The 25,177-nt window shown below is 42.2% G+C and overlaps 1 protein-coding gene across 1 annotated transcript; it reads right to left on the bottom strand.

The window, feature by feature from the left end:
• On the bottom strand, window positions 15,255–16,109 carry ZCCHC13 (zinc finger CCHC-type containing 13). Its single transcript, NM_203303.3, has one exon. The coding sequence runs from the start codon at window positions 16,020–16,022 to the stop codon at window positions 15,522–15,524; it is 501 nt and encodes a 166-aa protein (NP_976048.1). The 5' UTR covers window positions 16,023–16,109; the 3' UTR covers window positions 15,255–15,521.

Below are 25,177 nucleotides of genomic sequence, written 5' to 3'. Positions count from 1 at the left end.
TGAGTCCATCTTGCTTCTAACCTCCAAGTAGTCCTTGGTCACTTCTGGGCATAGGCCAAGCTAACTTTGGGAGGAATTTAGTTTATGGTTTAACCTTAAAGCAAGGATGATAATAGCCTTTTCCAAAACTAAGCAGCCTTTGTAAGACTAATGAAAGGTCACAGGTTAGGATTATGAGAGGAGCCTGAATTCTGCTAAGATGTAGGGTATAGTTAGACAATAACCAGCCATTGTTCTGGAGGTCACAAGATTTGTAACTTCTTCAATTACTCCTGTGGATAACATCACTATTGTAGAACCTAAGATTGGTCTTCTGAGATATTTTTCAGACTTTTGCATTCTGACAACCAACAACTGACCCCACCCAGAGGCGGACTCAAGACTCATGACCCAACTGATCCCATGCACGCCCCTCAACCAGAGGCAGTCTCAGCACATGATCATAGTTTTCCACACCTCTATGATTGCATTCCAAATCAGTCAGTAGCATGCATTCCCTAGTCCCCTGTCCACCAAACTATCCCTGAAAACCCTAACCTCTGAGCCTTTCGGAAGACTGATTTGAGTAATAACTCTGTCTTCTGCATGGCTGACCTTGTATTAATAAAGCTTCTTTCTCTACTATAATAACATGATCTCAGTGAATTGGTTTTGTCTGTGCAATGGGCAGGAAGAACCCATTGGTTGAGTACACTTTCAAGGAAATACTAAGGAAATTCCTTATTTTAGCTGCCTGGTCAGTTCCATTGTTCAGGTTTCTGGGTCTTCCTGTTTCAAAGGCTGGTTTGTAAATCCTGAGCTATTGAGGAGCTGTATGTTTTCTCAAAAGAGCAGATGGGGCCAGGTGCAGTGGCTCATGCCTGTAATCTCAGCACTTTCGGAGGCCGAGGCTGGGCAGATCACAAGGTCAGAAGTTCAAGACCAGCCTGGCCAACATAGTGAAACCCTGTCTCTACCAAAAATACAAAAAATTAGCCAGGCATGGTGGTGGGCACCTGTAATCCCAGCTACTCGGGAAGCAGAGGCAGGAGAATCGCTCAAACCCGGGAGGCAGAGGTTGCAGTGAGTGGAGATCGTGCCACTGCACTCCAGCCTGGGCATCAGTGTGAGACTCCGTCTCAAAAAGAAAAAAAAAAAAAAAAAAGTAGATGGGCCCTCTGGTCCCCAGCATAACCCCCACCCCCACCACTGACTCTTCATCCACCTGGGGGTTTTTGCTCTTGGCTGCTAGCCCAGGCAAGAGGCCAGTGCCCATGGAAAACAGTGGGTCTCCAGTCCTTTGGGGGTGAGGGTTCCACCTCCCTTCTCTTTCCCCGACCAAGCCCCACCCCATCAGACTTTGGATAAGGGAGAAGGCACAGGCATGGTAGCATTGGCAACGAATCTGTCTTGCATCACATTTTAGTCAGGCTCTTCTAAGTCCTCTTCCTGATTGCACCTGGACCTTGGCCTCATCCTTGCCAGACCTGCATAGCCCCGATTTGCAATAATCTTGTTAAGTCAGTTTATTTATTTATTTATTTATTTGAGATAGAGTTTCACTCTTATAGCCCAGGCTGGAGTGCAGTGACATGATCTCGGCTCACTGCAACCTCCACCTCCTGGGTTCAAGTGATTCTTCTGCCTCAGTCTCCCCAGTAGCTCAGATGACAGGTGCATGCCACTACACCCAGCTAATTTTTTTTTTTTGAGACGGAGTCTTGCTCTGTTGCCCAGGCTGGAGTGCAGTGGCGTGATCTCGGCTCACTGCAACCTCCACCTTCCAGGTTGAAGCAATTCTCCTTCCTCAGCCTCCCAAGTAGCTGTGACTACAGGTGCGTGCCACCCCACCCAGCTAATTTTTGTGGGCTTTTTTTTTTTTGAGACAGAGTCTTGCTCTGTTTCCCAGGCTGGAGTGCAATGGCGTGATCTTGGCTCATCACAACCTCCGCCTCCCAGGTTCAAGCAATTCTCCTGCCTCAGCCTCCTGAGTAACTGGGACTACAGGCGTGTGTCACCGTGCCTGGCTAATTTTTGTATTTTTAGTAGAGGCAAGGATTTCACTATGTTGGCCAGGCTGGTCTCGAACTCCTGACCTCGTGATCTGCCTATCTCGGCTTCTCAAAGTGCTGGGATTACAGGCGTGAATCACTGCAGCTGGCCATAATTTTTGTATTTTATTAGAGCCAGGGGTTGGGCACGGTGGCTCATGCTTATAACCCCAGCACTCTGGGAGGCTGAGGTGGGCAGATCACAAGGTCAAGAGATCGAGACCATACTAGCCAACATGGTGAAACCGTGTCTCTACTGAAAAAAAACAAAAAACAAAAATTAACTGGGCATGGTGGTGCGTGCCTGTAGTCCTAGCTACTCGGGAGGCTGAGGCAGGAGAATTGCTTGAGCCTGGGAGGTGAAGGTTGCAGTGAGCTAAGATTGCGCCACTGCACTCCAGGCTGGTGACAGAGCAAGACTCCGTCTCAAAAAAAAAAAAAAAAAAAAAAAAAAAAAAAAAACATAGAGATGGGGTTTTACCATGTTGGCCAGTCTGGTCTGGAACTGCTGACCTCAAGTGATCCACCCACCTTGGCCTCCCAAAGTACTGGGATTACAGGTGTGAGCCACTGTGTCTGGCAACGTCAGTTTAAAAAGAATCCCCTCATTCTTAATATCTGATCACCCTAGTCTGCTCTCAGAAAGAATCCTGTTTGGTTAATCTAGCAAGAATCCTCCCTTATCCTTGATGTCTCTTAGTAATTTTCCATCCATCAATTGTACCCCCTGGCTGCACCTGCCAGTACTCTGCTCCTTGACTAGAAATTCCCAGTCCCTCAGAATTCAGTATTCAGCTCCTCCTCACTATTCAGAATTGAGCCCAGTTCCATATTGAGGTTTTCCTCTCTTGCAATAGTTTCTTCTTTCTTTTCTTTTCTTTCTCTTTTCTTTCTTTTTTTTTTTTTTTTTTTTTTGAGACAAACTCTCGTTCTTGTCCCCCAGGCTGGAGTGCAACGGCGCAATCTCGGCTCACTGCAACCTCCGCGTCCTGGGTTCAAGCAATTCTCCTGCCTCAGCCTCTCGAGTAGCTGGGATTACAGGTGCCCGCTACCATGCCCGGCTAATTTTTGTATTTTAGTAGAGATGGTGTTTCACCATGTTGGCCAGGCTGGTCTTGAACTCCTGACCTCAGGTGATCTGCCCGCCTCGGCCTCCCAAAGTGCTGGGATTAGAGGCGTGTGCCACCGCGCCCGGCTCCCCTCCCCTCCCCTCCCCTCCCCTCTCCTCTCCTCTCCTTTCCTTTCCTTCTTGACTGAGTTTTGCTCTTGTTGCCCAGGCTAGAGTGCAATGGCACGATCTTGGCTCACCGCAACCTCTGCCTCCCGGGTTCAGGCGATGCTCCTGCCTCAGCCTCCCGAGTAGCTGGGATTACAGGCATGCACCACCATGCCCGGCTAATTTTGTATTTTTAGTAGAGATGGGATTTCTCCATGTTGGTCAGGCTGATCTCGAACTCCCGACCTCAGATGATCCGCTGCCTCGGCCTCCCAAAGTGCTGGGATTATAGACATGAGCCACCGTGCGTGGCCCTTCTTCTTCTTCTTTTTTGAGATAGAGTTTTGTTCTGTCACCAAGGCTGGAGTGCAGTGGCCCGATCTCAGTTCACTGCAATCTCCACCTTTCAGGTTCAAGCAATTATCATACCTCAGCCACCTGAGTAGCTGGGATTACAAGCATGTGCCACCACACCTGGCTAATTTTTGTACTTTTAGTAGAGATGGAGTTTTGCCATGTTGGCCTGGCTGGTCTCGACCCCTGGGCCTCAACTGATCTGCCCACCTTAGCCTCCCAAAGTGCTGGGATTACAGTTGTGAGCCACCACTCCCCACCATCTCTTGCAATAGTTTCTGAATAAAATCTTTTTTTACTGATGTCATCCAAAAAGCCACCAGGATGGCTAAATAGTAGAAAGGAGAGCTTTATTAGTAATACTGGTCTGCAAGCTGGGAAGAGAAAGTCTCTAGCACAGAGAGAGACCAAAGGCACTCTCTCTTCAAAGAAGGGAAGGACGGATTGGGTCGTATACCTCACAGGGCTGGTATCTCACATATTCAGTAGGTTTTGGGGGGAAAGCTATACTATTTATGAGGGGAGCCAAGCACATGCAGGTTGGCTAAACATGTATGTAACATACATCCCATGTTCACTTTGGGATGAGGTTTCGGCATTAAAATGAGGTAGAATTTGGCTTTTTATGTCAAAATTTAAATTACAGGACACAAGACAGTTTGTGCCCATCCTCTATAAAGTGGCTGAAACTGGCAAAAAGTCTTCAACAGCTCGTCAGAAAAGAATGTTTTTAAGGCTGGTCCTCTGTCCAGTCAGAGTTATAGTGGTCTGAGTTGTTAATTACAGTTATCATAATTTTCCTGATAATTTCTGTTGTTAAGTAAGAGTGTGCTTTTTCTTGTAGGAATTTGGAAATTTGCCATGCCAGCCAGGCCCTGAACCCTGGACCCATAGGTAACTTTTTTTCCTTAACCTTAGGGTCTGTCTTAGTTGAAAAAGAGGAGTTTATTTTGGTCTCTCAGAGCACACTGGCTTAACTAGTGTCTGGCTCTGGTTCTGTTTTGACAGTTTTTTTGGTGCTGTGACTGGGACCTAAATGGAAACCACACTGTCAGACTCTTGGACACGACAAGCAGGTCTCCCAGCAAGCACTACTACTTTGTCTCCAGTCAGCTTGCTCATTTGGGCATCTTGTTTTTAGACCAACTCCAAAATCTAGTGCTTTGGATAAATGTCAGTTTAAGCATGTTGGGCTAGATTTTGATTCTTAAGATTCTGCATATACTCTAGAAGCTGGATTAGAGTTCCAGGTAAATAGACACTGGGTTAGAGTCCTGGGGTTCTCTGTAAGAGTTTAGTGTCTCTAAGAAACAGGCTGGATTAGAATCCCAGTTTTCTCTGTTCATAAATGTAGGGGTACCATTAGTCAAGGACATGAGCACTTCTTAATCAACTGAAATCCCCTCCCCCATCCCTTTTTTTTTTTTGAGACAGGATCTCGCTCTATGGCCCAGGCTGGAGTGCCGCGGCATGATCATAGCTCACTGTAACCTCTGCCTCCTGGGCTGAAGTGATCCTCCCGCCTCAGCCTCTGGAGTAGCTGGGACTACAGGCGCATGCCACCACACCCAGGTAATTTTTGTATTTTTTGTAGAGACAGGGTATGACCATGTTGCACAGGCTGGTCCCCAACTCCTGGGCTTAAGTGGTCTGGAGCCCACCTTGGCCTCCCAAAGTGCTGGGATTACAGGTGTGAGCCACTGTGCCCGGCTGAAATCCCCTCCTCTGAAACTCCTGCTGACCACATGCTTTGCCACTATAGCATTGTTTACTTTCTTACTGGGAAAACTTTACTAAAACTCTCTTGACCTACATGGCCCCTCTGGAGCTCCTGGAATATCCCCAAGTTTGTTTATCTAAGAAGAGCCCTAGAACAAAAAGGAACAAAAATCTTGAAAACACAATTGTCGGCCGGGCGCGGTGGCTCACGCCTATAATCCCAGCACTTTGGGAGGTCGAGGCGGATGGATCACCTGAGGTCGGGAGTTTGAGACCAGCCTGACCAACATAGAGAAAACCCGTCTCTACTAAAAATACAAAATTAGCCAGGTGTGGTGGCACATGCCGGTAATCCTAGCTACTTGGGAGGCTGAGGCTAGAGAATCTCTTGAACCTGGGAGGCAGAGGTTGCCATGAGTCGAGATTGCGCCATTGCACTCCAGCCTGGGCAACAAGAGTGAAACTCCGTCTCAAAAAAAAAAAAAAAAAAAAGAACACAATTGTCCACTTGTTTCACCTGGTATGAAGAAGTTGAAAAATGGCCAAATAATTCATACCTCACTCAAACTATTCAAGCTCTTAATGACTTCAGAAAAGTTTTTCTGGTCCAGTAAGCCCCTAGAGTCCTTAACAGCATCCCCATATTCCCCTCTCAGCTCACCTTTGTATCCTTCTCTCCCAGAATGTCCTCTACCAGTTGCACCCCCAGCCGATCAATCTTATAGCTGTATGGTTCACAAGGCCTCCACCTCCTGCAGATGAAGCCAAGTGTATGGCTGGTACCTGATCCCAAGTGAGTCCAACAGAAGAGATAACATTTAAACCTAGGTATTGGTCTGAATTACATGCCATCAACAAAGACTTTCCTGACCCCCAAAAGAAAAGGTAAAGGTGTGTTGAACAATTTAGAACTGTCCTAGGGGTATACTCTCTGGGTTCCCCAATTTATATCAAGTTATCCACCTATTGGTTGGTCCTTTAGTTTAAAAAAGCCAAATGGACCACCATTCCAGAAGACTTTCAAGGATCTCAGACTACCCCCAATTCTCATCAGAAAATGAAAGAAGTAAAAGAAAAATTATTAGGAGAGGATCCATCCCTCAGATCTATCACAGAGACTAGATTTGTCATATATTCAAAATTGTAAACAACAAAAGGATGAAACCGTAGCTAATTATCACCCTCAATTGTTGCCATCGAGACAACATGAAAAGAGCGTTTGGGCCTGAAATTGGCTTGCCAAACAGCCTCTGCTCTGGCCACAAACTTTGAAAATAGTCTCAGACTGGAATTCCATGACATTTTCCAGAAAACTTATATTAGCTGACAAAATCCAAACATGTCTGAACTCCAGACATTAGCCCAGCATTATGAAAAGAGTATTTTTTAAAAATTGGAAAATGCAGAATACAAGCTTATGGCATTGACATTAAAATAGTTAGAAAAACCTGAAAAATTTAATCTATGGCAAACTCCAAAATCACAGGTTCCCATTCACTGGGACACCCACCAAAATTGTAAGGAAGAAGGGCATGGTGTCCAGGTTTTCCTGGACCTCAAGAGGAAGGATAAAAACTGGAGCCCCCCTCCTTAGGGGGCCTTCTGGTTACCTCATCAGAAAATTGTTGACTGTCCTCCAATGCTCTCAACTGCCATTAAATTCACAAGGGAAAATTACCCTACAAGTTGAAGGGCACCACCAAAGTTTTCACTGATACCAAGGCAATGCCTTATACCTTTAGCACCACTTCATTTTTTGCCCTCCTTCCTTGGACTCACCCAACTACCAGTGGTGGGTTTTGATAATTTGCCTCACAATTTGCTGCTTTCTCAACCTTTTAACATTTCTATGAGACCCATCAAAACTCAACACAACTTCCTTCTCATTCTATTACCCCAGTAAAACTCTTAGGAAAGGATCTTCTTATAAATTGGGGTTTTAAAATTTATTGTACCCCTGAAGGACTTCTACAGGTCCCTGACTCCTCTCCTTCATGATTATGTCTCCTAACTTTTTTTCTGATCTGAGTTACTTTGCCCCCTTCAACCTAGAACTTATTTAACTGAAGATTTAAATAAAGTATTAGACAGAATTCCTGCATTAGGGGCAAAAAAACTCCACCGAGATTGGGTGCATATGGGATGCAGAGCTCCCTAAGGTAGAAATAAATTCTTCTGTGCTCCTCCCCAAGATTCCCAAATATCATTTAAAACAAGAAGAACAAGAGTGACCCTGCTCAATAATCCAAAGTTTATTTGATAAAAAAACTTCTTGTCACAACTTCTAATCCATGCAATACAACCATCTTGGCCACTAAAAAACAAAATGGAGCCAGGTGCACATCTGTAGTCCCAGTTACTTGGGACACTAAAGCAAAAGGATTGAATGAGCCCAGGAGTTTGAGGCTGCAGTGCACTATGATCATGCCTGTGAATAGCCATCATACTCCAGCCTGGGAAATACAGCGAGACCCTGTTTCTAAAAAGAAAAAAAAAAAAAAAAGGAAATGATATTGGTTAGTTTAAGATCTGAGCTCTATCAATAAAATTGTCAAACACAGATTTCTTTTGGTGCCTGATCCTAACACTATCCTGTTTGCTACCCTTTCTAACACCCAATATTTCATCGACATCAATTTATGTTTTGCCTTTTTGCAGTAATCCCCTTCATAAGAAATCTCAATACATGCTTGCCTTCACCTGCGAAAACCCACAATATACCTAGACCATTATGCCCCCAAAATTTACCGAGACCCCTACCTCTTTCTTGCATACATTAAATGTCCAGTTGAGGGACTTAAAATTCCTAGGAGACACCACTTTAGTCCAATATGTAGATGACCTCCTCCTATGTTCTGACATTTATGACAACTCCCTTTTGGACACTGAATACCATCTTAAGGCCTTAGAAAGGGCCATAAGGTGGCTAGAGCTAAAACTCAATGATGATCATTGTGTGTGTTATACCTGGGTCATGATTTCTCAGCCATGAGCAAAACTGTCTCTGAGCCTCTACTATTTAACATTTTACTTTCCCTGAAACAAAATGACAACCAAGAGGAAATGGTAGAGTGTGGACACCTAATTTCTCCATGATTGCCTCATTCCTCTATTCTATGACTAGGGAGTCTCCCCAGACCCAGTAGTCTGGGATTCCCTATCCAATGATGCTTTTAAGGTCCTTAAAGGCTCTCTGCTTTCACCTTCTACCCTTGGATTTCCCAAGTACTCAGCCTTTTTCCTTTTTTGTGCATGAATGAGAGAGTCATGCCCTTGGAGTATGATTCCAGAAGCATAATGGTCACCACTCAGTTGGGCATATTTGTATGTGTTTACTTCTTTTTTTATTCTGTAACATTGATCTACATGCCTATATCTCTACCTATATCATTCTATCTTGTTTATTAAACTATATATTTTAAAATAAAGTAGACTGATTCTTCCCATTTTATCCTTGTTTTTCAAAATTGCTTCAGCTATTCTTTCTCTATCAATTTTAGAATAATCTATATCTACAAAAAATCTTGCTGGGATTGTAACGGAAATTCCATCAAACCTGTATATCAATTTGAGGAGAATAGATATATTTTATTTGTTGAGCCAATCCATGAACATATGATTCTCCATGTATTTAGATCTTTGATTTCCTTCATCAGTATTTTTTACTTTTCAGCATACAGTTACTGTACATGTTTCATTAATTTACACTTAGTTATTTCATTTTTGAGTGACTATTAACTGATATCATATTTTAGTTTTAGCATCCATGTATTCATTACTAATATATAGAAATACAATTGATTTTTGTATGTTTTCCTTGTTTCTTGCAACCCTGCTATAATTATCAGTTCCAGGAGGTTTTTTTGTGTGTGTTTTTTCCCAGTAATTACTTGGGATTTTCTCTGTAGACAATCATGTCATCTGCAAATAGGAACAGTTTTGGTCTTTCCCCTCTGATACGTATGCCTTTTATTTTCTGTTACTGCCTTATTACACTAACTTGAACTTCCGTCACTATGTTGAAAAACACTGTGAGTGTAAAATCCTACATCCTTGCCTTTTTTTTTTTTTTCTTTTTTCTTTCTTTTTGTTTTTTTGAGACAGAGTCTTGCTCTGTCACCTAGACTGGAGTGCAATGGCGCAATCTCAGCTCACTGCAACCTCTGCATCTGGGGTTCAAGCGATTCTCCTGCCTCAGCCTCCTGAGTAGCTGGGATTACAGGCATGCACCACCATGCCCGGCTAATTTTGTATTTTTAGTAGAGACGAGGTTTCTCCATGTTGGTCAGGCTGGTCTTGAATTCCCGACCTCAGGTGATCCACCCGCCTTGGCCTGCCAAAGTGCTAGGATTACAGGCATGAGCCACCATGCCCAGCCATCCTTGCCTTTTTTCTAATCTCCAGTGAAAGGCATTCTGTCTTTCACCATTAGGTATAATGTTAACTGCAGGTTTTTTGTAGATGTTATTTATTGCATAGAGGAAGTTCCTTTTTATTCTATTTTTCTGAGTTTTTATCATGAATGAAAGTTGGATTTTGTCAACAGCTTTTGCTGCATCAATTCATACAACTATGTGATTTTCCTCTTCAGCATATTAACTTGGTGGCTTACATTTATTGATTTTTGAATATTCATGAGGGTATAAGTCTGGGCTCCCCACTAGGCCTTTGCTGGTGGTGAGACCATAATATATATATATATTTTTTGAGACGGAGTCTTGCTCTGTCGCCCAGAGCTGGAATGCAGTGGCGTCATCTCGGCTCACTGCAACCTCCGCCTCCCAGGTTCAAGCAATTTTCCTGTCTCAGGCTCCTGAGTAGCTGGGATTACAGGCGCGTGCCACCACACCCAGCTAATATTTGTAATTTTAGTAGATACGGGGTTTCACCATGTTGGTCAGGCTGGTCTTGAACTCCTGACCTCGTGATCCACCCACCTCGGCCTCCCAAAGTGCTGGGATTACAGGCATGAGCTGCTGTGCCCGGCCGAGACCATAATTTTTTTTTCACGATGTTTGCCTGAAGGAGAGCAGTTATTGTCTAAAAGTTTTCTATCTTTCTAGGCTGTGTCTTTTCTGGCCCTTTGGCTGATAAGAGCAAGCTTTTCTTGGGGCTTTTTATGTCTGTGCCTATTGAAGTTTCTGGGTTGCTGGCTTCTTCTGCTTCAAGTCTGGATATATGAGGTTAAACAAAAAACCAAGGAACTCACTACTGTGTAGTTCCTTGGTTCAGAGGTCCCTAGCCTGTTTGACTTCTTCCCACCACCTTTCAGTTTTCTTTTTTTTCAGACGGAGTCTCGTTCTGTCGCCCAGACTGGAGTGCAGTGGCGCGATCTCAGCTCACTGTAACCTCTGCCTCCTGGGTTCACGCGATTATCCTGCCTCAACCTCCCAAGTAGCTGGGATTACAGGCGCACACCACCATGCCCGGCTAATTTTTTTTTTGTATTTTTAGTAGAGATGGGGTTTCACTATGTTGGTCAGACTGGTCTCGAACTCCTGACCTCGTGATCCACCCGCCTCAGCCTCCCAAAGTGCTGGGATTACAGGCGTGAGCCACCGTGCCCAGCCCAGTTTTCTTATGTGTATTTTACATACAATGTTCAGAGGTATTTGTTTGCATTTAGCCAGAAGAATAGTACATGTATTTTATCTTCTTGGAAGCAGAAACCCTGTTAGCCCTATCTTATTTTTTAACAGATATTTTGTTTGTAAATCAGGAAGACGCTTCAATTTTATAAAATGCTTTTTTAGTCTCTATTGGTGTGTTTTCCTGTTTGTATCTATTAATACAGGGCTTATATAAGCAGTTTTACCTAAAACTTGTGTGGTGGATGTTATATAGTTGTCTACCCATGTCCCAAGGCATACAGCATGGGTTATGGACTCAAGTACAGAATACTGGCTGTGACTTTTGCAAGACTACAGGGAGTAGTGCACCTGAAAGTCTTCCACAGGAATGTGTGTTTTTTGCTTCCTGATCCTTGCTTTTGCTCCAGAGAGACTAAAAATAAGTTGTTGTTTTTTTTTTTGAGATGGAGTTTCGCACTTGTTGCCCAGGCTTGAGTGCAATGGCGTAATCTTGGCTCACTGCAACCTCCGCCTCCCGGGTTCAAGCAACTCTCCTGCCTCAGCCTCCTGAATAGCTGGGATTATAGGCATGTGCCACCACGCCTGGCTGATTTTGTATTTTTAGTAGAGACGGGGTTTCTCCATGTTGGTCAGGCTGGTCTCCAACTCCTGACCTCAGGTGATCCACCCGCCTCGGCCTCCCAAAGTGCTGGGATTACAGGTGTGAGCCACTGTGCTCAGCCAAAAATAAACATTTTTATGAGAAATGTTCCAATTTTTAAATGTTGACATGTAATTCACAAATACTGTTAAACAATCTGTGGGTCAAACTAAACACATTTGTTAACCTGATTCAGTAAGAGGGCTACCATTTCATGTTTACTGACATAAAGATATTGATGAGTCAAAATAAGGCTTTCCTTCCCCTGAGACTAGAAAAGATTTCCTAGAGACAGGAAATGTAGAGGGCTTAAAAGGCTGAGTGTATCCTTAATAAAAGGACACAGACTCTTCCTCCTCCAACTGTGGGCCAAACTCCTGAGGGCATGGGAAATGAAACTCCAGATTTGGAGGAATTCAAACACAGAATCCTGTGTTCCTCCTTTCCTAAATAGAGTCCAGCACAGTGATGAGACCCAATAATTTTTGTTTGCTCAGTGTGATGTAGGAGTTTCAAGTTGTGTCTTGGCAGATTGGACTGAGATGGCCCCACTTAGGGGCTGAGAGTCACAGAGAATGACAGAATTAATCTCTAGGAGCCCAAGAGGGTCACAGAAGTGGAAAGGAACTCAGCCGAATGGAAGGGATCTTTTAGCTGGGAATGAAAGATTACACTTACGGTGTTCATAAAAGAGTGTGGCTTCAATGAGATACTATCTCACACTAGTCAGAATGGCTATTATTAAAAAGTTAAAAAATAACTGATGTTGGTGAGGATGTGGAGATAAGGGAACTCTTATACACTGTTGGTGGGCAAGTAAATTAGTTCAAACTCTATTGAAAACAGTATGGAGATTTCTCAAAGAACTAAAAATAGAACTACCATTCAACCCAGCAATCCCACTACTGGGTATCTACCCAAAGGAAAAGTACTCATTCTATGAAAAAGACACCTGCACTCATGATTATCACAGCACTATTCACAATAGCAAAGTCATGGAATCAACCTAACTTCCCTTCAACAGTGGACTGGTCAAAGAAAATGTGTTACAAGGCCGGTCACGGTGGCTCACACCTGTAATCCCAGCACTTTGGGAGGCCGAGGCAGGCGGATCACGAGGTCAGGAGTTCGAGACCATCCTGGCTAACACGGTGAAACCCCGTCTCTACTAAAAATACAAAAATTAGCCGGGCATGGTGGTGGGCACACCCGTAGTCCCAGCTACTCGGGAGGCTGAGGCAGAAGAATGGCATGAACCCGGGAGGCAGAGCTTGCAGCGAGCCGAGATCACACCACTGCACTCCAGCCTGGGCGACAGAGCGAGACTCCATCTCAAAAAAAAAAAAAAAAAAAAAAAAAAAAAAAAAATGTAAACAGACACTATACAAGGACATGTAAAGACAGCAAACAAATCTACAAAAAGATTTGAAAAAATAATATGGCCAGGCACAGTGGCTCATGCCTGTAATCCCAGCAATCTGGGAAGCCCAGGCTGATGCATCAATTGAGCTCAGGAGTTCAAAAGCAGCCTGAGCAACATAGTGAGACCCTGCTTCTACAAAAAAAATACAAAAATTAGCTGAGTGTGGTGGTGCTCACCTGTAGTCCCAGCTACTCAGGAGGTTGAGGCGGAAGAATTGTTTGAGCCCAGGAGGTTGAGGCTGCAGTGAGCCCAGATTGCACCATTGCACTCCAGCCTGGGCGACAGAGTGAGACTCTGTCTCAAAAATAAAGAAATAAATAATGTGGCTTCAGTTACAAATAAGTTACATTTTTTAACCCTTTGAGTTTATGTGTCAAAAACTGTACCCCTGTACTAGACTTTCTGCTATAAACGGTATCATATCCTAGGTTTGACATTATTATTTTATAAACCAGTTTCCATTACAACTTCAATTTTCTCTTGACACAACAGTTACCTCTCCCACCCTCAGTTTTATTTAGAGTTTAAAAGTGCTTTTTCTATTTTATAAAAGTTTGGTTGTTTTTCAAATCTGAATTTTAAAAATGGATTCCAGCATATGAAACTCAATATTTTTATATCTGAGAAAATACATTTTGAGCCGGGCACGGTGGCTCATGCCTGTAATCCCAGCACTTTGGGAGGCTGAGGCAGGCGGATCCCCTGACATCAGGAGTTCGAGACCAGCCTGGCCAACATGGCGAAACCCCATCCCTACTAACAATACAAAAATTAGCTGGGCATGGTCGTACATGCCTGTAATTTCAGCTACCCAGGAGGCTGAGGCAGGAGAATTGCTTGAATCCGGGAGGCGGAGGTTGCAGTGAGCCAAGATTGCGCCACTGTACTCTGGGCGACAGAGCGAGACTGTCTCAAAAAAAAAAAAAAAAAAAGAAAATATATTTTCAGAAACTCCTAAATATAAATATGATTTTCATTTCTGTGAAGAGTATTTTTCAAATTACTGAATCCCCAAACTCTGCTTAATCTTAATGTTTATACTTGTTTTCTTATATACTTATATATTTAAAAAATATGTAAGTCCAGGCTGGGTGCAGTGGCTCACACCTGTAATCCCAGCACTTTGGGAGGCCAAGGCAGGCAGATCACTTGAGGCCAAGAGTTGGACACCAGGCCAATATGGCAAAACCCTATCTCTACTAAAAATAGAAAAATTAGCTAAGTGTGGTGGCAGGCACCTGTAATCCCAGCTACTCAGGAGGCTGAGGCAGGAGAATCACTTGAACCTGGGAGGTAGAGATTGCAGTGAGCTGAGATCGTGCCACTGAAGTCTATCCTGGGCAACAGAGTGAGACTCCGTCTCAAACGAACTATATATGTATATATACGTCCAAACTTTGCCATCAATATCTATATGTCCATGATTTGCTGTTAAGGTTTTTTGTTTTGTGTTTTTAAAGACAAGGTATCTATCACTCTGTCTCCCAGGCTGTAGTGCAATGGTGTGATTGATCATGGCTCACTGCAGCCTTGACCTCTCGCGCTCAAGCAATCATCCCGCCTAAGCCTCTAGAGTAGCTGGGACTACAGGCATGCGCCACCACACCCGGCTAATTTTGTATTTTTTGTAGAGAAAAGCTCACTGTGTTGCCCAGGCTGCTCTCAAACTCCTGGGCTCAAGTGATCCTTCTGGTCTGGCCTCCCAAAGTGCTGGGATTACAGGTGTAAGCCACTGCGCCCGGCCTGTTAAGATTTTTTGTTTCTGTTTTTTTCTGATTGCTCTCTCTCTCAAAGCAGCTCATATACATTATACATTTTGTTTCTGGTTTATTTTCATTAAACTACACACTCTATGCAGGGCCAGACAGAGATGTCTCGTTCAATGTTGTTTAAAACCTAATGAGGCCAGATAATTCAAAGCCATCAATATGATAAAATTTAAGTTACTTTGGCAAGGTCATGGATTTTCAGAATCAGCTTTATTTGCCCTATGGATCTCTGAGGAAATATAACCTCCTCAGGGTGCCCTTGTGTATCTAAAACAGAACCACATTCTTTCCCTCTTTCCCCCACATACACATTCTCTTTTTATCCTTTTACCTCCTGTTCTTTCTCTCTATGGCAATTTACCTTCATCTGACACACTATTTTTCTTGTTAATAGATTCTAGGCCTGTGTTTCTAAATTTGTTCTAATTTGTTCACCATTTAGATCCAGCTCTTCCAATAGTGCCTCTTAATTAAATGTGTTAAATCAAAATACAACAAAAGAACCCCTTAAGTGATTGGTGCTCAGAATGACTATTTAATAACTAGATTTGCCCGTGGGGCAGAAGCAACACGTTAATTGTGGGGCATCTACCAATGATTAACTTTTTTGAGGTTTTTTTTTCTAGCTCTTTCCTCCTTTAACATGGTAATTAAAGCTCACTTGCCTGAGAGTAGCCTCAATCTATCGACCTTTCGGTGAGTGAAGTTTTCGGAGAAAATAATACAATTATCAATCAGCAAAAGGGTGGGGGGTGGGGGGGAAGATTTAAGTGGTAACCTCACTGGGACATTCCTTGGCTAGATGTCGGGATTTGCCGCAGCGGTAGCAGTTGACCTGGCCTCGCCTTGCTGCAATTGATGGCCACGTGGCCAATCTCGCCGCATCGGTAACACTTGACCTGGGCGCAGTCTTTCTGAATGTGCCCAAGTTTGCCGCAAGAGTAGCATTTCTGCTCTTTCTGACGATCACAGTCACGAGCCAGATGTCCTAGTCTGCCGCAGGTATAACAGTGTTGGCGTCTCTCTCGTTTAGGATCCTTACAGTCTTTGGCGATGTGGCCGCTTCTCCCACAGTTGTAGCAGATGTTTCCGAGAAGGACACAGTTCTTAGCATTACGACCGGACTCACCACAGCAGTAACAGGTGTAAGATAGGGTGGTGGAACCACATTGAGAACCTCTGCCATGGCCTCCACCTCTTCGCCCTCCAGCTCCTCCTCTAGGGCATCCCCGAGCCCAATGGCCAGAGTGTCCACACGCGAAGAAATCCTTACTGCTCATGGCTGCGATGCGATCTTCCAATGAGCAGGCCCACCTCGGCCCCGGAGGCCCCGGCGCAACCCCGCTTTGGGCGGCTTAGAAAGAATTAGCTGTTTTCCGCTAGGTGTCTCAGTGATGTCATACAAGGTTTGCACACGGCCCCATTCACGTGTCACGGACATTCCTGACGCCCTTCCCGCCCGACTTTCCTCCTACTCAAGAAGCCAAAAGCACAATAATCTGTTAACTGAGTAGTGTTGTTTTCCGTTTTTGTTTGTTTCAACACTTGAATCATTGAGTTTGAATCCTTTCCTATTTAGAAAATTAGACTTGTAGAAGTTTTCATAATTTAAGACTTAGTCGGCCGGGTGCGGTGGCTCATGCCTGTAATCCCAGCTCTTCGGGAAGGCCAAGGCGGGAGGATCACGAGGTCAAGAGATTGAGACCATCCTGGCCAACATGTTGAAACCCCGTCTCTACTAAAAATACAAAAATTAGCCGGGCATGGTGGCGGGCTCCTGTAATCCCAGCTGAGGCAGTTGAACCAGGGAGGCAGAGGTTGCAGTGAGCCAAGATCGCGCCATTGCATTCCAACCTGGGCGACAGAGGGAAACTCTGTCTCAAAAAAAAAAAAAAAAAAAAAAAATTTGGTGTTCCAGTGGAGGTGAGGGGGACAAATTGTGTCGACTTCTATCCCATGATCTTGCTCTGTCCCCTGGGTTTCTTAATTCACTAAATAATTGGAACTCATAGTTTGAAGCATACTATTTAGAGGCATATGTGTAAACATATCTTTATATTACGAGTTATTTATTTATTTATTTTAGACAGGAGGAGTCTTGCTATGTTGCCCAGACAGGTCTCAAACTCTTGGGCTTGAGCAATCAGCCTCCTGAGTAGCTGGAACCACAATCATATGCTGGCTACTATGACTTTTTGATGTTTCAATTTTAGACATTATCTGTGTCTTTCCATTTTGGAGGATGAACATTTAGTCTTCTTTTACCACCCACCCTATGCACTTGCACAGTCCAAACTCCTCATTCCAACTATGCCTCCCTTCACTTAATATTGGTTGGGACAATATTCAATGTTTTTATAATTATAAGTATGTAAATGATACTCATGCCTGAGCCATTTGGAGAGTACTCTGATCACTTCATTACCTGCATGGTTTTTATGTTCTCTGGAGTTAGTTATTGTCATTCTTTATTTCTTTAGTTTCTCATATATTTACCTAAATACTATTTAATAGCTATATCTGTGTGTTTATCTTTATACCAGTACCACATAATCTTGATTACTGTAGCTTTGCATTATACTTTGAAATTGGGAGGAGTAAGGCCTCCAACTTTGCTCTTTTGATGTGACTATTCTGAGTTCCTTGCATTTTCATATGAATTTTAGGATCAGCTTGTCAATTTCTGCAAAAAAAGGCAAACGGGTGTTTGATATGGATTATGGAATCTGTAGATCATTTTGGAGACCATTGTTATCTTAAAAATATTGAGTCTGGCCGGGCGCGGTGGCTCACGCCTGTAATCCCAGCACTTTGGGAGGCCGAGGTGGGCAGATCATGAGGTCAGGAGTTCAAGACCAGCCTGACCAACATGGTGAAACCCTGCCACTATTAAAAATACAAAAATTGGCCAGGCATGGTGGCGCATGCCTGTAATCCCAGCTACTCAAGAGACTGAGGCAGGAGAATGGCTTGAACTTGGGAGGTGGAGGTTGCAGTGAGCCAAGATCGCGCCACTGCACTCCAGCCTGGGTGACAGAGAAAGACTCTGTCTCAAAAAAAAAAAAAAAAAAAAAATTGAATAATTAAATACATGAGCACAAGTTATTGTTTCACTTATTTAGGCTTTTATTTTCATTCTCTGATATTTTGTAGTTTTCAGTATACAAGTCTTGCACATCTTTTGTTAAATTTTTAAAGTATTTCATCATTTTTGATGTTATCTTAAATAGAATTATTTTCTTATCATTTTTCAATTGTTTATTGTTATTGTATAGAAATACAATTATTTCTGTATGTTGATCTTGTATCTTGCAACCTTGCTGAACTGATTTAATAGTTCCAGTAGTTTTTTAGTGGATTCCTTAGGATTTTCTATAGACAAGATTATGTCATCTATAAGTAAGGATAGTTTATATTCTTCCTTTCTAATCTGGATGCCTTTTATTTCATGCTCTTGCCTAATTGCCCCAGCTAGAACTTCCAGCACAATGCTGAATAGAAATAGTGAAAGCAGACATTCCTGTCTCGTTCTTTATCTCAGGAGGAAAGCTCTCAGTCTTTGACCATTAAGTATGATGTTAACCATGGTTTTTTAATTAAAAAAAAAACTACATACTTTTTTATTGGGTTAAAGAAGCTCTCTTCTATCCCTAATGTGTTGAGTGCTCTTATTATGAAGGGGTATTGAATTTATCAAATGATTTTTCTGTATCCTTGAGTTTGCCTTGCCTTTTGCATTGGCTATAACCAACAGTAGTACATTGTTGAATAGCAATTGTGAGAGTAAACATTATTGTCTTCTTTAAGATCTAAAGAGGAAAGCTTTCAGTCTTACCACCTAAGTATCATGTTAGCTGTGGGCTTTTAGTAGATGCCCTTTACCAGATTGAGAAAGCTCCCTCCTATTCCTAGTTTACTAGGTGTTTTTATCATGAAAGTGTGTTGAATTTTATCAAAGTGTGTCCACTGAGATGATCATGTTAGTTTTCTCTCCTCTATTCTGTTAATATGGTGTATTACATTGATTATTTTTCATAGGTTCATCTAACCTTACATTTCTGAGATAAATTCCACTTGGTAAAGGTATGTAAAGTAATCCTTTTTATATGTTGTTGGATTTGATTTGCTAGTATTTTGTTGAGGATTTTTATGTCCATATTGATGAGGAATATTGACCAATAGGGATTTTTTTCTTGTGACATTTTTGTCTGTTTTTTGTTTCAAGGTAATACTGACCTCATAGAATAATTTTGGAGGTCTTCCCATCTCTTCTTTTTTTGGAATAGTTTGCAAAGAATTGGTATTATTTCTCCTTTAAATGTTTGGAACATTTCATTAACGATGCCATCTTCGCCTGGGCTTTTCTTGTGGGAAGTTTAAAGATCACTAAGTCAGTTTCTTTACTTGTTATAAGTCTATTCAGATTTTATAGTTCTTCTTGAGTCAGTTTTGGCAGTTTGCATTTTTCTGGGAATTTGCTGTTTCATCATTTTTTCTAATTTATTGGCATAGCGTTGTTCATAGTATTCCTTTATACTGCTTTTATTTTTGTAATGATGAACACTCTTTCATTCCTGATTTTAGAAATTTGAGTCTTCTCTCTTTTTTCTTGGTTGGTCTAGCTAAAGGGTTTTTCGAAAAATGAACTTTTACTTTTTTGTTATTCTCTATTATTTCTATTCTATATTTCATTTATTTTCACTTTAATTTTTATTACTTTCTTTTTTCTGCTTGCTTTAAGCTTAATTTGCTTTTCTTTTTTCAGTTTCTTAAGGTGGATGGTGAGATTATTACTTTGAGATCTTTGTTTATAATGCAGCTGATTATAACTGTAAATTTCCCTCTAAGCATTGCTGTAGCTGCATTCCATAAATTTTGGTATGATATATTTTCTTTTTCATTTATCTCAAAGTATTTTCTAATTATTTTTATGATTGCTTCTTTGACCCTTTGGTTATTTAGGAATATAATGTTTAATTTCCACATATATGTGACTTTTCAAAATTTTCTTCTCATATTTATTTGTAATTTCATTCTGTTGGCATTGCAGAACATATAATTCCAATCACTTTACATTTGTTGAGGCTAGCATGCAGTCTGTCCTGGAAAATGTTTCATGAGTGCTTGAGAAGAATGTTTATTATGCTGCTATTGGTTGGATCATTCTATAGAGGTCAATCATTGCTGATTTTCCATCTACTTGTAGTATCCATTATTGAGAGTGAATTATTCAAGTATCCAACTCTTATTGTTGAATTACCCATTTGTCTATTCAATTTTGAAAGTTTTTCCCATGTATTTTGGGACTTTGTTTTTAGGTGCATACATATTTATGATCATTATAGTTTCTGGATGAATTGATCCTGTTATTATCATAAAATGCTTTAACTTGTTAAATATTTCTCAGAGGTGTCACATTTCTCTCCATCTCACTACTATACTAAGCAGGACACCATCACCTCTTGGCTAAGTGTTTCTTCTAAAATGTAAAGATGATCACACCACTCTCATGTTTAAAATCTGTATTCCCAATAATAACTAGATTAACTCTGTTAGGCCTGAGAGAAGATGAAACTTTCCCAAGATCAAATTAAGACTGTGAAGAAGGACTAGATCCCAGGTTTACCAACTCCCAGTTGAATATTCCCTTTACTATATCGTATCTACTATGGAGCTGGGTACTCTTGATTAGCCCACTGAACCTTTATTTAATTCCCCTTCATGTTTAAGAAGTTGTAAATTCAAAGTGTTCACTTTTCACACACGCTTGCAGCTATGGGCCTGGAGGTAAACTAGGTTACATCAATTAGAATCAACTTCTCAGCATTTGAAAAGCATATATGAAGTGAAAGCCATCTTCAAGCCACATTTTGCCTGTTTTTGCTGGCAAGTGAGTTGTGCAGACTTACCACTCAAATGTAATAGCATTTTAGCATTAATTCTCCAGCTTCCTATGCCAATAATCAGTTATAGTGGCAGCAGCAGCAGTGTTTTTTGTTCGTTTGTTTTTTGTTTTTCCTTTTGTCTTTCAATTCCCCAGATCACAGCTCTCTGAGTTCCTGAATTCATGAATCTGGTTGTAGCCTCAAAGGTCCTAATAACTCTGGTTGGTCAGCTTTATATTCTTCTGGGAGTCATTCCTTGAGACTCTCCCTAGAAAGTGTTCTTCCTTTCCTTACAAGTAACTTGTAAGCATCCAATTTCTTATATTAAGTTCCTTCATCTAAAATCCAGGAGGGTTTTTTGCTCCTTGCACTGAACCCTGATTAATTCAAACATCTCCAAAATTATAATAACTTCCTTAACAACATACCAGTTCTCTTAAATAACACTGTTTATTTTATAACCAGATATTTTTATTGTTTATACAGAAGAGTAGATATATTCTTAGCCCTAGTATATCTCTTTTTTTTTTCCCAACTGAATTTTGTTGTAAGAGGTAAATTTCTGCAGAATTTATCAGGGAGTTAGTAACAAGATCAATTCTCTTTCTTGGTCTCTTAGCCATCTTATTCACATATTCAAACTAATTAACCTTTAGCAATGAAATCAAGGCCTTTGTTAAGTTTGTTATTGTACCATCTTGCCAGCTTCTTCACTTCCCGTTACCTTCTTTTTCATTTTGTTTTGCTTTGCTTTTTGAGACAAGGTCTCACTGTGTCACCCAGGCTGGAGTGCAGTGGTGCAATCAGGGTTCACTGCAGTCTTGACCTCTCGGGCTCAAGTGATCCTCCCACCTCAGCCTCCCAAGTAGCTGAGACTACAGGCATGTGCCACCGTGCCTGGCTACTTTTTTTTTTTTTTTTTTTTAGACAGAGTCTTGCTCTGTCACCCAGGCTGGAGTGCAGTGGCTCAATCTTGGCTCACTGCAACCTCCGCCTCCCGGGTTCAAGTGATTCTCCTGCCTCAGCATCCCGAGTAGCTGGGATTAAAGATGTGCACCGCCACGCCCAGCTAATTTTTTGTATTTTTAGTAGAGATGGGATTTCACCATGTTGGCCAGGCTGGTCTTGAACTCTTAACCTTAGGTGATCTGCCCGCCTGGACCTCCCAAAGTGCTGGGATTAGAGGCATGAACCATCTCGCCCAGCCTACTTTTTGTATTTTTTGTAGAGATAAGGTTTTGCCATGTTGGCTACGCTGGTCTTGAACTCCTGGCCTCAAGTGATCCTCCTGCCTTGGCCTCCCAGAGTGCTGGGATTATAGGCATGAGCCACCATGCCCAGGTAACCTTTTTTTTCAAAGTCACAAAGAACACACCAGTTCTTCTTGTGCCAGAGGAGATTAGTACTATCATGAAAAATTAATGGACTCTAGGAAGACAAAAGGTACTTCTTGTTTTCCAAGTTGTTTTACATTTTTGTAATGGTAGCTTTTGGAAAGTTAAGGCCAGTCCCATGTCAGATTTAGTCAACATACAATTTGGCAAGGTAAAGCTGAATTCAAGGGACTGAGAGAGTCTTCTTGACTACCTTTCCTTCCTGTGCCACAACCTCAATTGAGAGTATTCATAGGTTTCAGGAAATCTGTATTAGTCATGGTTCTTCAGAGAAAGAGAACACCGTGTGTGTGTGTGTGTGCATGTGTGTGCGTGCACACACACACACATGCATGCATGTGCGTAAAGAGAAAGAGAGAGAGAGATTTTAAAGAATTAGTTCACATGACTATAGAGGTTGGCAAGTCCAAAATCTGCAAGGTGGGCTGGCAGCCTGGAGCTCCAGGAAAGAGCTGATACCGTAGTTCAAGCCCAAAGGCCATCAGACTGGGAACCTAGAGAAGAGCCAATGTTGCAGTTCAAAGGCCATCTGTTGGCAGAATTCCTTCTTACCCAGAATAGGTCAGTCTTTTGTTCTATTCAAGTCTTCAACTGATTGATGAGGCCGACCCACATTATGGAGGGCAATGCTTTATTCGAAATCCATTAATTTAAATGTTAATTTCATCCAAAAGCACCCCTCACAGAAACATCTAGAATTATGTTTCACCAAATATCTGGGCATCGTGGCCCAGCCAAGTTGACATATAAAATTAATCATCACATCCTCTAGAAGAAGCCCAGTCTCCTAAGAAATGTATAGGATGGGGGAAAAGAGAAAAATAAAGTCTCAGATGTTAGCTTAAAATGAGTGGATACAACAGAGGTTCCCAAATTTCTTCCTTACCACTCCTTAGGAACGGCTTGTGAACTGGGAAGTTTAGACAAATAGGTAGGCCTAGGACTCTAAGTATTTTACAGGGTTCAAGATTTACCAGCTGTGTCTCTTTTTCTTTTTTTCTTCAAGATGGAGTCTTGCTCTGTCACCCAGGCTGGAGTGCAGTGGCTCGATCTTGGCTCACTGCAACCTCTGCCTCCTGAGTTCAAGCAATTCTCCTGCCTCAGCTTCCCGCATAGCTGGGATTACAGGCACCTGCCACCATACCCGGCTAATTTTTGTATTTTTAGTAGAGATGAGGTTTCACTGTGTTGCCAGGCTGGTCTCAAACTCCTGACCTCGTGATCTGCCTGTCTCGGCCTCCCAAAGTGCTGGGATTACAGGCGTGAGCCACCGCACCCAGCCCGTGCCTTTTTCCTGAATTTCTCTTCTTAAGGGGCCATGGTACATTATGGAAGTTTTTCAAAATAAAGAGACGTGGAAAGAGTAAGTAACTCAATCTGTAAGAATTATGTGCTGATTTCAATTTTATAATACTTTCAAAAAATGCAATGTTGTCCATTTATTAAAAATAGTGAAGATAATTAATAATTAGGGGCATGGAAAAGCAGTGAAAACATCACAATATTGTATCTATAAAATGTTGATGTTTGTCTGTGCCATTGGTAAATAGTGTTGGTGGGGGAAAAGTTGAGTCTCTTATGCATTGAACCTTTGGGGTAATGTGTAGTGATTTCCATATGGCTGAGCCTAGGACCAAGCTCCTTGCCTGAGATGAAGGTAGAAGTAGAAGTTCCTTGGAAGAAACAGAACTAAATCTGTTTGCTGATGAATATTCATCTGTGCATGGTAAAAACACAGCCTCAAACACAAATATAGTGTCATAAAAAATGTTAACGTTAGGCCAGGTGCAAGGGCTCCCACCTGTAATCCCAGCATTTTGGGAGGCCGAGGCGGGCGGATCACGAGGTCAGGAGTTCGAGACCAGCCTGACGAACATGGTGAAACCCCATCTCTACTAAGAATACAAAAATTAGCCGGGCGTGGTGGCGGGCGCCTGTAATCCCAGCTACTCAGGAGGCTAAGACAGGAGAATCGCTTGAACCTGGGAGGCAGAGATTGCAGTGAGCCGAGATCGTGCCATTGCACTCCAGCCTGGGCCACAGAGCAAGACTGTCTCAAAAAAAAAAAAAAGTTAATGTTAAAACATTATATATACATTTTTTCTTTTTCTTTCTTTCCTTTTTTTTTTTTTTTGAGATGGAGTTTCACTCTATCACCCAGGCTGGAGGGCAGTGGCATGATCTCGGCTTACTATAACCTCTGCCTCCCAGGTTCAAGCGAGTCAGCTGCCTCAGCCTCCCGAGTAGCTGGGATTACAGGTGCCCGCCACCACGCCCAGCTAATTTTTGCATGTTTAGTAGAGACGGGGTTTCACCATGTTGGCCAGGCTGGTCTTGAACTCCTGACCTTAACTGATCTGCCTGCCTTGGCTTCCCAAAGTACTGGGATTACAGGTGCGAGCCACTGTGCTTGGCCCCCACCTCTTTTTTTTTTTTTTTTTAAATAGAGACAGGGTATTGCTATGTTGCCAAGGCTGGTTTCGAACTTGTGGTCTCAGGCAATCTTCCTGCATTGGCCTCCCAAAGTGCTGGGATTACAGGCATGAGCCACCACGCCCAGCCAAAACATTATATATTTGAACAAAAATCATAAGAGAACACAAAGATGCTTGCTATGGTTTGAATATGTCTCTCAAAGTTCATATGTTGGAAATTTGATGCCCCATGTGGTGGTGTTGGGAGGTGAGGCTTAAAGGGAGGTGTTTGAGTCATGGGGGCACCACTCTTATGAATAGCTTAATGCTATTATTGAGGGAGTGGGTTTGTTATTTCAGTAGTGGGTTCCTTATTAAAGGATGAGTTCTGGCCCCCTCTTGCGCGCACTCTCTCTTTCTCTATCTCTTTGCCCTTCCACCATGGGATGATGTAGCAGGAAAGCCACTGTCAGATGCCAGCTCCTCAGTCTTGGACTTCCCATTCTCCAGAACTGTGAGGAAATAAATTTCTGTTCTTTATAAATTGCCGAGTCTGCAGTATTTTGTTACAGTGGTACATAATGGACTAAGACAATACTAATGGGTATGAAGTTTCTTTTTGGGGTGATGAAAATATTCTAAAATTGATTGTAGTGGTGGCTGCATAATTCTGTGAATATACTAAAATCCATTGCATTGTACACTTTAAGTTGGTTAACTGTATGATATGTAAATTATATAT

The sequence above is a fragment of the Homo sapiens genome, chromosome X, assembly GCF_000001405.40.
Source record: "Homo sapiens chromosome X, GRCh38.p14 Primary Assembly".
Taxonomy (NCBI): Eukaryota; Metazoa; Chordata; class Mammalia; order Primates; family Hominidae; genus Homo; species Homo sapiens.
The sequence above is the reverse complement of the archived record's forward strand: the minus strand, read 5'-3'. Positions and strand labels throughout refer to the sequence as shown.